The following is a 16,262-nucleotide window of genomic DNA, read 5'->3' on the forward strand; positions in this document are numbered from 1 at the left end:
CCTTTGAAGGTTTTTTGACAATGCCCAGGGAGGTTCCATTAGCTTAGGGGAGGAGGAGCAGGAAGATGAGAACATGAGGAGTTTAGTGTGGGATGTGTTGAGTTTGAGGCTCTGTGGAACATCCAGTGGTTGCCTTGTGGTAGGCAGTTGGATTTATGAGCCAAGACTCAGGAAAAGTTCTGGACTAGGGTTAGAGATCTGAGAGGTATTGGTAGTTGATAGTTAGAGGATTGACTATGAATGGAACTGTACAGGCCAGGCACAGTTACTCACACCTTTAATCCCAGCACTTTGAGAGGCCCAGGCAGGAGGATCACTTGAGCCCAGGGGTTCAAGAGCAGCCTGGGCAACATAGCGAGACCCTGTCTCTGCAAAAAATGTTTTAAAAATTAGCTGGGTATGGTGGCACATGCCTCTAGTCCCAGCTGCTTGCGAGGTCGAGGTGGGAGGATCACTTGAGCTCAGAGATTGAGGCTGCAGTGAGCCATGAATCATGCTGCTGTACTCCAGCCTGGGCAACACAGACCCTGTCTCAAAACAAAACAAAACAAAAAAGCCTTACAGAGTGTGGGGAGGAGAAGAATGAAATGTGGGGTGGTTCAGCCCCCTCAAGTTACAGATGAGCAAACAGGGCCCAGAGGAAAGCCGTTTGCTTATGGCCTCAGCAGTAAGTGTCATTCATCCATTCATTCAACAGATATTTATTGAATACCTGCCATGTACTAGGAGCTAGTTTAAGTGCTGGGATACAGCAGTGAGCAAAACACTCAGGGAGCTTACATGCCGGTGGGCAGACTCAGAAAACAAATTAAATATTATGTTAAGTAGTGGGAAGTGCTACAGATAAAAGTAAAGCAGTGTATTCTTTGATTTTAAAGATAAGGAAAATAGGGCCAGGCGTGGTGGCTCACGCCTGTAATCCCAGCACTTTGGGAGGCCGAGGCAGGCAGATCACTTGAGGTCAGGAGTTTGAGACCAGCCTGACCAACATGGTGAAACCCCATCTCTACTAAAAATACAAAAATCAGCCAGCCATGGCGGCGGGTGCCTGTAATCCCAGCTACTTGGGAGCTGAGGCAGGAGAATTGCTTGAACCCGGGAGGCGGAGGCTGCAGTGATCTGAGGTCGTGCCACTGCACTCCAGCCTGGGTGACAGAGGAAGACTCCATCTCAAAAAAAAAAGACTTTTAAGATTTTGACCTAAGTAACAGGAAGGATGGAGTTGCCACAAGGTAAGATTATGTGATGAGTAGGTTTTAGGGGAGAATTGAGAGTTCAGTTTTGACAGGTTAACTTAGAGCTACCTGTAGACACCTACACAGAGTCAGTAGCAGCAGCAATAAGACCATCATTTCAGCCCCTTCCCCTTCTCTCGGATGCCAAGTCCATGCACCCGTCCCTCTGCACCCTGTCTGTGTAGCTTTCTAATCTCTGGCCGCTGACCTGGGCCACTAGCCACCTCCCCACACTGAGAACTGACCCCAGCCCCCTGCCCCTAGGTTGTGCACAGGGACCTGAAGCCCAGCAACATCCTGTATGTGGACGAGTCCGGGAATCCCGAGTGCCTGCGCATCTGTGACTTTGGTTTTGCCAAACAGCTGCGGGCTGAGAATGGGCTCCTCATGACACCTTGCTACACAGCCAACTTTGTGGCGCCTGAGGTGAGTGGCCCAGCCTCCTCAGCTGTAAGAGTGAGGGGGAATTGGAGGCCTTGTGCCCCCTCCCAGAGGCCCCACATTAGCCGGGACTCCAGTCTCTGTGACCTTGGCCCAGCTGGCAAGGGAAGATCTAGCCTGTGCCTGGGACCCTTGTCCTGCCCTTGAGGGGAGTAGCAGGAAACATCTGTGGCGACTTTCTACTGCCCCCCCAGACTGACCACCTCCCCTGCCCTGTTGCCAGGTGCTGAAGCGCCAGGGCTACGATGAAGGCTGCGACATCTGGAGCCTGGGCATTCTGCTGTACACCATGCTGGCAGGGTGAGTGCCCCTGGCCTGGACCCTTCCCCACTCCTGCAGCCCTAGCACTTGGGCTGAGTGGTGCTTGTCTGATAGGAATGGCTCAGCCAGCCCCGCCCCAGGATGGTCTGGAAATAGGGACATGCTCCTGCCTCCAGGAGCTCTACCTTGGGAGTACCCCATCTGAGGGGGAGACACAGTCTCCCACCGCAGCCCCAGCCCCAGTATGGAGGCCAGAGTCTGTACCCAGACCGTGCGGGCTTTTCTGCAGATATACTCCATTTGCCAACGGTCCCAGTGACACACCAGAGGAAATCCTAACCCGGATCGGCAGTGGGAAGTTTACCCTCAGTGGGGGAAATTGGAACACAGTTTCAGAGACAGCCAAGGTGAGTCTGTACGGCCTGCGTGGGCTTATTTGGAGGAGGGAGGCAGGGTCCCATCCTAGGGCTTTTCAGCAGTTCATGAACAGCCTCATTTCTCCAAGCGGATGTTCCACAAATCCCTGTTGCTGTATTTCTCCAAGCGGAAGATTCCCAGGCAGACCACCACCACCTCCGTACCTTGTTGGGGTAACCTGGTGATCATTCATTGGCCCTTCTCATTCTGGACCCTGTGGGGCACTGAGGGCTGCATCATCACAGTCCCGGCTTTGTGGAAACGTAGTGTAGTGAGGGATACAGGTTTGCACACAAGGGGCAGAGATGCCTGGAGGCACAGATAGGCGGACGCTCTTGGCCAGGGGTGTGGACCGTGGAGACACAGAGCAGAGCAACTGGCCATGCCAAGCAGAGCCTCCTCGGAGGAAGTAGCATGTGAGCTTTCAGTATTAGCAACAGTTTTTGGTCATTGGGAACCTGTATGCCAGACAGAGTTGAACCCTCTATGTACGGCCGGCCACCTCACATCAACCTGTGAGGCAGGGAGTGGTTATTCCTATTTCTCAGCAGGGAAACTGAGGCTCAGAGAGTTGAAGGAACTTGCCCAGGGCACTCATTTGATGAGTGCAGAAGGCAAGTTTTGAACCTGAATCTGTCTGAGCCCAAACCTGAGGCTTTTCCCACCTTCCCACATGGCTTTTTGAAGGCAAAGGAGAAATGGAAGGGTGTTCCAGGACGAAGGGCCTAGAGCAGCAAAGGCCCAGCGACAGGAACCTTGGCTGTGTGCGGGGAGCCCTGGAGCAGAGTGGAGAATGGATCCCAGGGGCTGCCGCAAGGGTTCAGGCGGGAGCTAGCAGGAGATGGTTGCCCTCCTGTGCCCCATCAGGGGCCTGCTCCCCTGCAGCCCTCCCCCAACCCCCTTGCCCACTGTGTCCCCAGGACCTGGTGTCCAAGATGCTACACGTGGATCCCCACCAGCGCCTCACAGCTAAGCAGGTTCTGCAGCATCCATGGGTCACCCAGAAAGACAAGCTTCCCCAAAGCCAGCTGTCCCACCAGGACCTACAGCTTGTGAAGGTATGGCCACCCTTGGGCTGCTGGGCATCTGGGGGGTCAGCCCAAGGTGGCATGGTCAGGGACTTGTGGAAGAGCCAGGCAATGCCATGTCTGTACCAAGCACCATGAGGTGGAACATAGGAGAAGAAGACACAGCCCTGCCGTCAGGGAGCCTAACATGCTACAGTGTCACGGTGCACTCACAGCCCCCAATCCTCTGGAAGGCACAGCTGCTGACCTCTGAACCCTCCAGTCTGATGGGGGAGGCAGGACCCATGACCATAAAGGACCACTGAGGCTGGATTAACAGTGGGCTAGGCTGGGCGCGGTGGCTCACACCTGTAATCCCAGCACTTTGGGAGGCTGAGGTGGGTGGATCACGAGGTCAGGAGTTCAAGACCAGCCTGACCAAGATGGTGAAACCCCATCTCTACTAAAAATACAAAAATTAGCCAGGTGTGGTGGCAAGCGCCTGTAATCCCAGCCATTTGGGAGGCTGAGACAGGAGAATCGCTTGAACCCTGGGGGCAGAGGTTGCAGTGAGCCAAGATTGTGCCATTGCGTTCCAGCCTGGGTGACAGAGTGAGACTGTATCTCAAAAAAAAAAAAACAACAAAAACAAAACCAAAAAAAGTGGGCTGTGGAACACTGAGAGGGGCTGGCCTACCCTTGGGGCATGGATCCCCTCCCCGCTACATCTCCCACCATTGTGACCTGACCTCCCCACTTCTCTTTCAGGGAGCCATGGCTGCCACGTACTCCGCACTCAACAGCTCCAAGCCCACCCCCCAGCTGAAGCCCATCGAGTCATCCATCCTGGCCCAGCGGCGAGTGAGGAAGTTGCCATCCACCACCCTGTGAGGCACCAGGGCATTCGGGCCACAGGGCGGTGCTAGCTTGACACAGTCAGCATGCTTCCCAGAGGGAGCAGGCCGGAACCACAGGGCCAGAGGGAGCTGGAACCCGAGGGGCCGGGGAAGCTGCCAGCCCAGAACACCCCTAATGAGGGTGTGAGAAGTGCCTTCTCCTTCCCCAGGATGGACTCTTCTCGGCTCAGGCTCTGCTGGTGGAAAGCGATTCACTGTATAAACTTTTTTTTATGAAAAAAATGGCATCAACCACCATGGATTTTTACAAGATCCATTTGCCTTTCTGGGAGCAGAAACAGCCATTGCGGCCCCAGGAGGGGAACTGAGTCACGCTGGGGCTCTCTGAGACTCTTTAGAGCAGCTTTGGGATCCCACCCTGGGGACCCCCACGATTGGCCACCTGTAGCCATCTGCACACACCTCCGAGACAGTCCAGTGTCACCTCTCTCAGAGCATCTGGCTGTTTAGCAGAACTCATTCTATCCCCAATCAGCTCCTTTTCCGTTCTGTTCTGCTGGGAGTTCTAGAACCACTTCCTGCTACAGGAGGGGTCTCATGTCCTGCTGGCTTCCAGCTTCAGGCACCAGCATCCACCTTGGCTCTGCCAGTGGATCCCCTGCGGTCAGGCTGGGCAGCCCCAGAGAGAGGATGTGGAAAGCACTTTTTGGCTGACTTCATCTGGGGTTGGCAACAGGACAGAGTTCACAGGAGGCCAGTGGGCGGGCCATGAGGGACAGGGTCTTTTTTCATTTCTTCCTCAGCTGGTTACTCAGGGTTCATCTGTCCATGGCCTTTCTAATAAACTGTTGAGTTGAAGCACGCTCTCCTGCACTCTTCATCCCTGAATTTACCCTCTCTCTGCTATCGGATGTTGAAGACATTGGCAGTGACAGAAAATGGGCCAGGGCCAGTTAGCCCAGCTGCTTGGAACCAGGTCATCTGGGGAGTGTGTGGGAATCCCGCTGGCCTGGCCCACGTGTTCCTGCCAGGGGATTCCATTATGGTATTGATAACAGTATTATTAGCCAATGGTGACCAAGTGCCAGGCACTATGCCTGGGCCTCACATGAATATCTCATTTAATCTTAACCCTGTGAGGTAGATGCTCTGTATTATCCCTGTTTTATAGATGGGGAAACAGGCTCAAGTTGGGGAATGACATTTTCTCATGCAGTATTTTCTGAGCACTCATTCTGGCCCTGTTCTGGATGCTGGTGAACCAGGTAAAGAACAAGGTCATTGTGTCCAGGGGTCTTACTTCCCAGTAGGGGAAACGGACACTTAACAAGCCATGGTCAGCTACTGATAAGACACATACAGAATTAAACTGGGGTGAGATATTGGGTAATCAGGGAAGGCCATTCTGGGGAGGTAACCCAGGAGCTGAGATCTGAATGGTGAGAAGGGGTCAGCCAAGACTGGTAGGCAGAGGGCAGTCAGGACAAAGGCCATGAGGGGGAAACAGGCTCGGTGTGCTCAGGGATGAGAGGAGGCTGATGTAGCTGTGACCCCAGAGCCAGGCGTTTGCCCAAGATGAGGCTGGAAAGGAGGCAGAGGCCAGTTATGCTAGGCACTGTAAGCCAGGATTAGGCGTGCATTTAATTCTGAGTGAGGCGCAAGCTCCTAAAATAATTTGAGCAGGAAAGTGACATGATTTGATCATGATTTGATTCACATTTTTAAGAGATCACTCTGGGCCAGGTGCAGTGGTTCACGCCTGTTATCCCACCACTTTGGGAGGCCGAGGCAGGCAGATCACTTGAGGTCAGGAGTTCAAGACCAGCCTGGCCAACATGGCGAAACTCTCTCTACTAGAAATACAAAAATTAGCTGGGTGTGGTGGCGCATGCTCCCACCCATCAGCTCGCAAGGCTGAGGCATGAGAATTGCTTGAATCTGGGAGACAGAGGTTGCAGTGAGCCGCGATCGCACCACTGCACTCCAGCCCAGGCGACAGAGCGAGACTGTCTCAAAAAAATAAAAGATCACTCCGATTGCTCTGTAGAGAATTTGGACAGTGAGGTGGGGAGGCAGGAGGGAAGCAAGGTGACCAGGTTGGTGGCTACTGCAGTAGCCCAGGCAAGAGATGAGGTGGCTTGGACTAGGGTGGTGGGATGGAGATTGGGATGGAGTAGATGGGGTCAGGATATGCTTTGGAGGTAAAGTAGACAGCACTTGCTGGCAGTTTGCATGCAGAGGATAAGGGAAACAGAAGATTCAAGGATATCTTCTAGATTTTTGGGGAAAGAGTTTTGGGGGAAGCATTGGAGAGAAATAGGTTTGAGGAAAATTTTTAGAGCTCTGTGGGAGGTAACTTTTAAGTATCCAAATGGCTGGGCATGGTGGCTCACGCCTGTAATCCCAGCACTTTGGGAGGCCGAGGCAGGTGGATCACCTGAGGTTGAGAGTTCGAAACCAGCCTGACCAACATGGAGAAACCCCGTCTCTACTAAAAATAATAGAAAATTATGCCGGGCGCAGTGGCTCATGCCTGTAATCCCAGCACTTTGGGAGGCCGAGGCGGGCGGATCAGGAGGTCAGGAGATCGAGACAATCCTGGCTAACATGGTGAAACCCTGTCTCTACTAAAAATACAAAAAATTAGCCGGGCCTAGTGGCGGGCACCTGTAGTCCCAGCTACTCAGGAGGCTGAGGCAGGAGAATGGCATGAACCCAGAAAATGGAGCTCACAGTGAGCCGAGATCGTGCCACTGCACTCCAGCCTGGGTGAGAGAGCGAGACTCCATCTCAAAAAATAAATAAATAAATATAAATAAAAATATCCAAATGGAGATGTCAAATAAGAGTTGTAATTAGAAGTTGAAGTTCTAGGGAGAGATCTGAACTGGAAAGATAAATTTGGAAGTCATTAGCTTGGAGAAAGTTTGCAAAGCCAAGAGACGGGGCTTCTGAGAGTGTGGTCCACATACCAGTAGCATCAGCATCATCTGGGAGCTGGGTAGAAGTGCTGAATCTCAGGCCTGTCCCCAGACCTGGTTAATAGGAATCTATCTTATAACAAGGTCTACATGTGATTTCTGTGCATATTAAAGTTTGAGAAGTGCTGTTCTAGGGCCTGAGCAAAGATGAGGGGGTGGGGGGATGCCTGTGCTGAGCCCTGGAGCACCAGCAAGGGACACTCAGGGATGACAGCCAGAGGACCCCCCCACCCCCAGTCTGGCAAGATTCCAAGCCTTATGAACCAGGCCTTGGTTTCCATTATGTCTCGGCCGCCCCACTTTACAGATTTTAGAAAGCTAGGGCCTTAGAAGTGAATAAGTCCTGTTATGATGGAAGGAGATTCTGATAACAGCAGCTAAGTTTTGGGGCTGGCCTAAGTGTACGGATTCTAAGCCCGGCAGCCTCCCCACAGGAGCAAGGAGGGTGCTGTTGGGGCCCCATGGGCTAGGAAGCCCTCCTTTGCAACCAGTGACACTTATGTGGTACTTAGCCCCAACCCATGTCCTGTGTGTTTCACTTCTTGGAGACTTGGTTTCCCCATCTTGGAACCAACATTTCCTGTCCCACCCATCATCCAGGGTTGTCTCCCCTGGACCCCATCACCCAGCTGGAATCCTGAGCATCACCCTGCCTCCTTCCCCCCACTTCTGCATCCTGCCACCATCAATTCTGTTTCCTAAATATTTGGAGGATCCATCCCCTCCTCTCCATCCTCCCTGCCCTTCTCATATTTTTGTTCTTCCAGTAGCCTACTAAATCTCTCCAGACTTTTGTGTCCCCAACATCCTCCATTTACAATCACAAATCTGACCCAGCATCTGCCCTGAAGTGACTCGTCACTGTCTACAAGATATTGCTGAGGCATCCTCGCTTGAATTCAGTGTCCTGTGTGATCTGGCCCCCACCAAGATCCCAGTGTCAACTCTGTAACTTGTCCCCAAACTGCTCACAAGACCCAAACCTGCCGTGCTTCTGCCTCCACTGGATTCTGCTGCCACGTGTGCCCTGCTAATTTCCCATCCTTTAGGAAAATTCAAATGACACCTCCAGGAAGCCAACTAGGACACCACAAACTGTTTGGTGACCTTCCTTTGGGGTCCTCAGACCCCGCTCTGTGCCCCATTTCTGCGTATACCACACTTTTGGAAACAGCTGATGATGTGTTTTCTCCCCACTAGTCTGTGAACCTGAGGGTGTGGGCTGTGCTTTGTTCATTCCATATCCTGTGCACCTGGCACACAGTTTTTTGGTCCTCAGCTAGTGTTTGTTGAATGGGTGAGTGAACGAGAGAGCAGACTTGATGGTGCTGGGGGAAGCATAGAGCTGGAGCCTGGAAAGGCATCTGGGGTGGAAGGGAAGCTGGTGCTCTGAGGCATTGAGCTGTTAGTGTCTTGCCCCAGGCACCAGAAGGAAGATCCAAGAACCAGGAAATGGTGGATGGGTGGGTGGGGTGGGAGTCCATAGGTTTCTCAGCAGCCAAACCCCAAAACCCTAATACTTCACCTCTGTGGGCTTCAGTTTCCGCACTTGCTAAATGGGGATAATTCTTGCCCACCTCACAGCATCACCTGAAGATCAAATGAGTGTGTGAATATGAATGTGTTTAGGAAGGTAAAAAGCTTTGCAATTAGGCTCATTATAGTTTTCACAGGTCGGGACAGCCCCCCAGGGACTCACTGGACTCCAGAAACGCAGTTCCCAGCCACCAGCACCTCCAGTAGGAACTTTCCTCTCTGAGTGCTGACTGCCTGGACAAAACCCATTAATAGGCTGGGCATGGTGGATCACGCTTATAGTCCCAGCACTTTGGGAGGCCAAAGCAGGAGGGTCGTTTGAGGCCAGGAGTTTGTGACCATCCTGGGCAATGTAGTGAGACCCAAGACCCGTTTCTATTTAAAGAAAAAAAAAGTAAAAATGTTTTTAAACCCACTAATGAGAGTGTATATTCAAGGCAACTTGAATCTATGCTCCCAGGAAATATTTTAAATAAGTGAAAAAAAAAAAACACGAATAGCAATAACCCAGCTTGGGACAACAAATGATCAATCCTCATGTCCCCAAGTTCCACAGTCACTCTTCCTTTTTTCTGAGAGTCTTGTTCTGTCACCCAAGCTTGCTGCAACCTCTGCTTTACAAGGCTCAAGTGATCCTCCCACCTCAGCCTAACAAGCTGGGACTACAGGTGTGCACCACCATAGCTGGCTAATTTATTTTATTTTATTTTGTAGAAACGGGTTCTCGCTATGTTGCCCAGGCTGGCCACTCTTCCCTTTAATGCCCAAATAACAACCCCTGAGCACTCACCCTGCAGAATGTCCCCTCCCATAAAATAGTGGCTCCCATCTATCAATCAAATGCTCGTGATGGGAGTGCTGGGCACCAAGTGCTTCCCTTACTTTATTTCATTTGATCCTCATTATGAGGGAGATGTGATAATTTCACACACAAGAAAATTGAGGATTGGAAATTAAATGACTTGCCCGAGGACCCAGCTAAGAGGCAGAGCAGGACTCAAATTGAGATCTCTATGTTTCTGAAACTCACACTTCACCAGTGTGCTGTCCAGCCTCTCTGCTTCTGAAAATGCCCAAGACCTAGTCACACGTGCCACAGATCTGTCTGGTGACCACCCTTCCCCTCAGCCAGCCAGGTGATCATAAAGGTCCCATAACATTGGGGTCTGGTGTCAATTGGAGGACACAGTAGGAAAGTTCTATTTCCCAGCTGGCAAGCTGTAAAAAACAAGATGGGGAATTTGGGGAGTTTCCTGCAGACATTCTCAGAAGGTAGAGCATTCCCATCCCCTGTGCTGCATACACAGCGCACTAATGACGTGTTGAGGTCTTAGAGGAGATTCCTCTTCCCATAGGGGACAGTTTAGATGATCTCACATGTCCCCTTTGGGTCAGAGACTCAGATTCTCAATTGTTGATGCAGACATCAAAATCCCTGAGCATTTTTTGCATTTTACCCACTTATGTATCATGTTTTCCATGATTATTTCAGAGACAGGCCCCCACAGAGAAAAGACTGGTTTCCTACATATGTTAAATAATTCAACCAGTTAGCACCTTGGTTAACACATGGATTTAATTCACTCACTCACCCCGTAATGAAAGGCCACAAAGAACACGCCGACCCATGATTGGTCATTTGTTCATTGGCCGTGGTAGGCACAAGGTCTTGAGTTCCTTCTTTAACCAGGCAGAGTATACACATCATCCCTAATATGAAAAGCAATCTAATGAGGGAGGTATTACAATTTCCATTATTTATTTTTTTTTTTTTTTTGAGATGGAGTCTCGCTTGGTCACTCAGGCTGGAGTGCAATGGGACAGTCTCGGGTCACTGCAACCTCCACCTCCCAGGTTCAAATGATTCTCCTGCCTCAGCCTCCCGAGTAGCTGGGACTACAGGTGCACGCCACCACGCCCGGCTAATTTTTGTATTTTTAGTAGAGATGGGGTTTCACTATGTTGGCCAGGCTGGTCTTGAACTCCTGACCTCGTGATCCACCCGCCTCAGCCTCCCAAAGTGCTGGGATTACAGGCGTGAGCCACTGCACTTGGCCTACAATTTCCATTTTATAACAAGGAAACTGAGGCTAAGGGAGGACACTTGCCCACAATCTCCAAGCAAGGAAGTGGTTCAGCCAGGTTTTGAACCCAGGCCTATCTGGCTCCAAGCTCATGTGTGTCCTACTATTCAACCAACCCTGGTGCACAGGCTAAATATCTTCCCACAGTGACTCAAAAAATCTCACAGTCAGAAGGGCTCTAAAGGCCTTGACTCAACCTCCACCCACTATAGGAATCTCCCACAGATGGTTTCCAATTTCTGTTCGAATACCACCAGTGATGGAGAATCCACCACATCACAAGGCAATCCCCCACACAGTTGGAAAGTTCCTCCACTTTGAACTGAGGGCTTCTGAGTAGCTTCCACTTCTTGTGGGGGGTTCCCACTAACTCCTGGGGACCCAAGGGAGAAATGATTCAACAGAAGCAGGAGAGAGATCTACATGAGCACCCCACCCCCAGTGGAGGTAGTTGCAGGTGGCAGGCAAAGGAGTGGTACTAAGGCTACTCCAAGGAGAGGGAAAGACCCAGAGAAGTGAGCAGGAGGCCCTCGTGGGCCATCATTTCCCAGGGCCTTTGCAGTGGTCCCCACCTTTTCCCTCCCGCCTCAGCTCCTGCCCCACTCATCTGTGAAGGCAGCAGTGGGTAATGGGAACAGGCAGAGCTAGACAGACCCGAGATCATATCCCAGCCCTAATGCTGACCTGCCATGTGACCTTGGGCAAGTTGCTTCACTATTCTGACATTTCAACTGTCAAACAGAGCGATAGTGAGCATTAAAGGAGAGAGTGTTGGCCGGGCATGGTGGCTCATACCTGTATTCCCAGTACTTTGGGAGGCTGAGACTGGCGGATCATTTGAGGCCAGGAGTTTGAGACCAGCCTGGCCAACATGGCGAAACCCCATCTATTCTAAAAATACAAAAAATGAATAAATAATTAGCCAGGCGTGGTGGCAAGTGCCTGTATTCCAGCTACTTGGGAGGCTGAGACACGAGAATCACTTGAACCTGAGATGCAGAGACGGCAGTGAGCCGAGATCGTGCCACTGCACTCTAGCCTGGGTGACAGAGTGAGACTCTGTCTCAAAATAAAATAATAAAATAATAGCCGGGCACAGTGGCTCGCGCCTGTAATCCCAGCACTTTGGGAGGCTGAGGCGGGTGGATCACCTGTGGTCAGGGGTTCGAAACCAGCCTGGCCAACATGGCGAAACCCCATCTCTACTAAAAATACAAAGTTAGCTGGGCATGGTGGCGCATGCCTGTAATCCCAGTTTCTTGGGAGGCTGAGGCGGGAGAATCGCTTGAACCTGGGAAGCAGAGGTTGCAGTGAGCCAAGATTGCACCACTGCACTCCAGTCTGGGCAACAAGAGTGAAACTGTCTCAGAAAAAATAAATAAATAAATAAATAATAAAGAGGAGAGAGCGTGTGAAGTGTGTACGGAGCTGCTCAGTTATAAGCAAACAACATGAGGACGTGGGAAGCAGGCTAGAGTAGTGTGGTTAAGTGCAGACCTGGGATTAAGCTGTCCTGGTTTTGTTAAACTTTTTTTCTTGAGGGACAAACAACCCTGGCTTACAATCCAACTTTGACCACTTGCTTGTGGATCTTGGGCAAGCCATTTAATCTCTCTACCTTGATTTACTCATATGATTCATTTATTTATTTTTTAGAGACAGAGTCTTACTCTGCCTTGTCACCCAGGCTGGAGTGCAGTGGTATGATCATGGCTCACTGTAACCTCGACCTCCCAGGTTCAAGCAATCCTCCCACTTCAGCCTCCTCAGTAGCTTAGACCACAGGCACGGACTAACATGCCTGGCTAATTTTTATTTTATATTTTATTATTTTATTTTTTTGTAGAGCTGGGTTCTCACCATGTTGCCTGGACTGGTCTTGAACTCCTGGGTTCAACTGATCCTCCTGCCTCAGCCTCCCAAAACCTTGCGATTACAGGTCTGAGCCAATACGCCTGGCCTTCTCACCGGTTTAAGTAGAAGGAATCATATCCAGAACCTGGACAGGTCAGCTCATTTAAGCATCCTTGCCCCATGAAAAGAGGGAGCCCTTTCATTATGACCTTTACTCTCTTTCCAGAACCTCTCTCTGAGTTATAACTCATGTTTATGACTCAGTCTGAGACTTCTTTTTATAATTTCCTCTGTTTCTCTTCCCTTCTTCTGCTCCCCACCACCCCCGCCCGCTGTGGGCTGAGTTGAGAAACCGAGGGGTGATGACACATGTTGGAGCTGGGCATGAGGCCTGCACTTAGGATGGGCCTGGGGTCACTCATCCGTTGCAGAATCTTCTTTCCAGACCTGGACTTGGGCAAAGTCATTCCTGCAGTCGTTAGGAAGCTTTTCAGCTACTGGGTCCTTTGTGGGCTTCTGTGAGTGGGGGTTGGAATCAGAAGACACAAATGAGGTCAAATCTCAACAGCAGCCATCACTAACTATATGATCTTGGGCAAGTCACTTGGCCTAAGTCTTATTTCCCTCATCTGCAGACCATCATCAGAGAGTCATGGAGGAGATAAAAAGAAACAATGAGGATAAAGGCTCTGGCAGGAATCCGATCCAGAACAAATGATGGCTGAATTGCAAGAATGCTTGATAGAACCTTCAGGCCTAAGTGAGATGCTCCAGAACCAAGGGATCTTAATTCAGGGCCCATGGCATCCCAGGCATGGGGATATATGTAAAATGACCTGTATATCTTCCTGGGAGGAGAGGGTACAGGGTTTGTCATCAGATTCTCAAAGGAATTCAAGATCTCCTAGATGTTAAGAAACATTTTATCCAGGGGAGCAGATAACACTTTTACTTTTCAAGCATGTAGAACAGCAGTCCTGCCACAGCACTGTGCGATAGTTCTTTCAGTAGACTTAACGTTCCAGGCTGGGCACGGTGGCTCACACCTGTAACCCCAACACTTTGGAAGGCCAAGGTGGGTGGATTGCTTGAGCCCAGGAGTTTGAGACCAGCCTGGGCAACATGGTGAAACCCCCTCTATACCAAAAATACAAAAATATTAGTCAGGCATGGTGGGGTGTGACTGTGGTCCTAGCTATTTGGAAAGCTGAGAAAAGCTGAGGTGGGAGGATCCCTGGAGCCAGGGAAGTTGACGCTGCAGTGAGCTGTGATTGTGCCACTGCACTTCAGCCTGGGTGACAGAGAGAGACTAGGCATTAAAAAAAAAAATTAAATTAAATTTAAAAAACACAAAAATTAAAAACTTATGTTCCAGACACGGAAGATACTAAAATGAGAGCAATTGGCTTCTTGACTTTCTGGAGCATTGAATTTCAGAGAGGTTAATCGATTTAGCCAAGGTCACACAGTGCTGAAGGAAGCCTGATGCTGGAATTGGACCCCCAAGTCTCTGACTGCAAAGTTGGCCACTTTGTGTCTTGATAAAGGAGCCTTCTCAGGGGTCAAGTTCCTTCTGTTGGCTGAGACCAACAAGATCAGCATTCTATAAGGCCTGGGAATGGTCATTGGTTGAGGTCACATTGAGGGCCTCTGCCAGGGAGATGAGTGTGAGCTACCAGCTCACCTCCTGGGGGTGCTGATGAGCTGCCTGTAGATTGACTGGGGTTGTTAATCACCCATGATTCAGGGAGAAGGGGTTATCTTGCTGACTGCAGGCTGACAGACCATGAGGGAGCTCCACGTGTGTATTTATATCAACAATACTGAGGTTTAATTTACATACAACAAAATGCATAGATTGGCCAGGCGTGGTGGCTTAAGCCTGTAATCCCAGCACTTTGGGAGGCCGAGGTGGGCAGATCACCTGAGGTCGGGAGTTCGAGACCAGCCTCAGAAACCCCATCTCTACTGAAAATACAAAATTAGCCAGGCGTGGTGGCGCATGCCTGTAATCCCAGCTACTTAGGAGGCTGAGGCAGGAGAATCGCTTGAACCTGGAAGTGGATGTTGTGGTGAGCCAAGATTATGCCATTGCACTCCAGCCTGGGCAACAAGAGCAAAACTCTGTCTGAAAAAATAATAATAATAAATAAGTAAATTAAAAAATAAAAAATAATAACAATAATAAAATGCATAGATTTTAAATGTACAATTGAATGAGTTTGGACAAACTGATACACCTATGAAACCCACACCACTCTCAAGGTATAGAACGTTTTCATTACACAGAGCATTCCCTGCATCCCCTCTCAATTCCTTCAGAGCCAGAGGCAATCACTGTTCTGATTTTTGTCACCATAAGTTAGTTTTGCCTGTTCTAGAACTCAATAAAAATTGAATCGTCCAGTGTATACTTTTTGTGTCTGACTTTTCCCATTCAACATAGCATCCGTCAAGATTCACCAATCTTGCTGTATGTCAGTAGCTCATTCTCTGTTGTTGCTGAAGTGGTATTCTATTGAATGAAAATGCCATAGTTTAATTCATTCATCTGTTGATGGACATTCTTTTTATCCCCTTGTTTTTGGCTAATATAAACATTTATGTACGAATCTTTGTGTGGACACACGTTTATATTTCTCTTGGGTAAATAGAAGTGGTATTGCTGTGTCACAGGATAGGTGAATGTTTAATTATATAAAAAGTTACTAGGCTGGGTGTGGTGGCTCACCCCTATAATCCAGCACTTTGGGAGGCCAAGGTGGATGGATTGCTTGAGCTCAGGAGTTGAGACAAGCCTTGGCAACATGGTAAAACCCCATTTCTATCAAAAAAAAAAATTAGCCAGGCATGGTGACGAACCTCTAGTCCCTACTACTCAGGGGGCTGAGGTGGGAGAATTGCTTGAGCCCAGCAGGTCAAGACTGCAGTGAGCCATAATCACACCACTGCACTCCAGCCTGGCTGACAGAGTGAGACCCGTCTCAAAAAGAAAAAAAAAATTACTAAATTGTTTTCCAAAACAGTTGTGCCATTTTACACTCCCACCAGGAATGTATTACAGTTCCTGTTGCTTCATACCCTTGCCAGCCTTTGGTATTATTAATCTTTTTTTTTTTTTTTTTGAGACAGAGCTTTTGATCTTGTTGCTCAGGCTGCAGTGCAGTGGCGCGATCTCGGCTCACTGCAACTCCGCCTCTCAGGGTCAAGCAAATCTCCTGCCCCAGCCTCCTGAGTAGCTGGGATTACAGGTGTGCACCACCATACCCTGCCAATTGTTTTGTATTTTCAGTAAAGACAGGGTTTCTCCCTGTTGGCCAGGCTGGTCTTGAACTCCTGAACTCAGGTGATCCACCTGCCTCGGCCTCCCAAAGTGCTGGGATTACAGGTGTGAGCCACCATGCCAGTGATTTTTTTTTTTTTAAGATGGAGTCTTGCTCTGTCACCCAGGCTGGAGTGCAGTGGCACGATCTTGGCTCACTGCAACCTCCACCTCCCAGGTTCAAGTGATTCTTCCACCTCAGCCTCCCAAGCAGCTGGGATTACAGGCATGCACCACCGTGCCCAGCTAATTTTTGTATTTTGAGTA

The 16,262-nt window shown here is 49.9% G+C and overlaps 1 protein-coding gene across 4 annotated transcripts in view, besides 2 other annotated features; it reads left to right on the forward strand.

Moving 5' to 3' along the window:
• RPS6KA1 (ribosomal protein S6 kinase A1) overlaps positions 1 to 5,076 on the forward strand; it is a 45,265-nt gene extending 40,189 nt beyond the window's left edge. For all 4 annotated transcript variants that reach the window (NM_002953.4, XM_024448871.2, NM_001330441.2 and 1 more), the window contains 5 exons: positions 1,500 to 1,661; positions 1,900 to 1,976; positions 2,227 to 2,344; positions 3,275 to 3,412; positions 4,130 to 5,076. In NM_002953.4, coding sequence (NP_002944.2) covers positions 1,500 to 1,661; positions 1,900 to 1,976; positions 2,227 to 2,344; positions 3,275 to 3,412; positions 4,130 to 4,252 — 618 coding nt within the window. In that variant the 3' untranslated portion in view covers positions 4,253 to 5,076. The remainder of the gene's footprint in view (positions 1 to 1,499; positions 1,662 to 1,899; positions 1,977 to 2,226; positions 2,345 to 3,274; positions 3,413 to 4,129) is intronic.
• Positions 9,941 to 10,070: an enhancer, noted in NCBI's record as "active region_511". NCBI's record gives its function as "activates an Ori minimal core promoter by ATAC-STARR-seq in GM12878 lymphoblastoid cells {active_cell/tissue: GM12878}" and the evidence as "EXISTENCE:reporter gene assay evidence [ECO:0000049][PMID:35858748]".
• Positions 12,987 to 13,056: an enhancer, noted in NCBI's record as "active region_512". NCBI's record gives its function as "activates an Ori minimal core promoter by ATAC-STARR-seq in GM12878 lymphoblastoid cells {active_cell/tissue: GM12878}" and the evidence as "EXISTENCE:reporter gene assay evidence [ECO:0000049][PMID:35858748]".

The sequence above is a fragment of the Homo sapiens genome, chromosome 1, assembly GCF_000001405.40.
Source record: "Homo sapiens chromosome 1, GRCh38.p14 Primary Assembly".
NCBI lineage: Eukaryota > Metazoa > Chordata > Mammalia > Primates > Hominidae > Homo > Homo sapiens.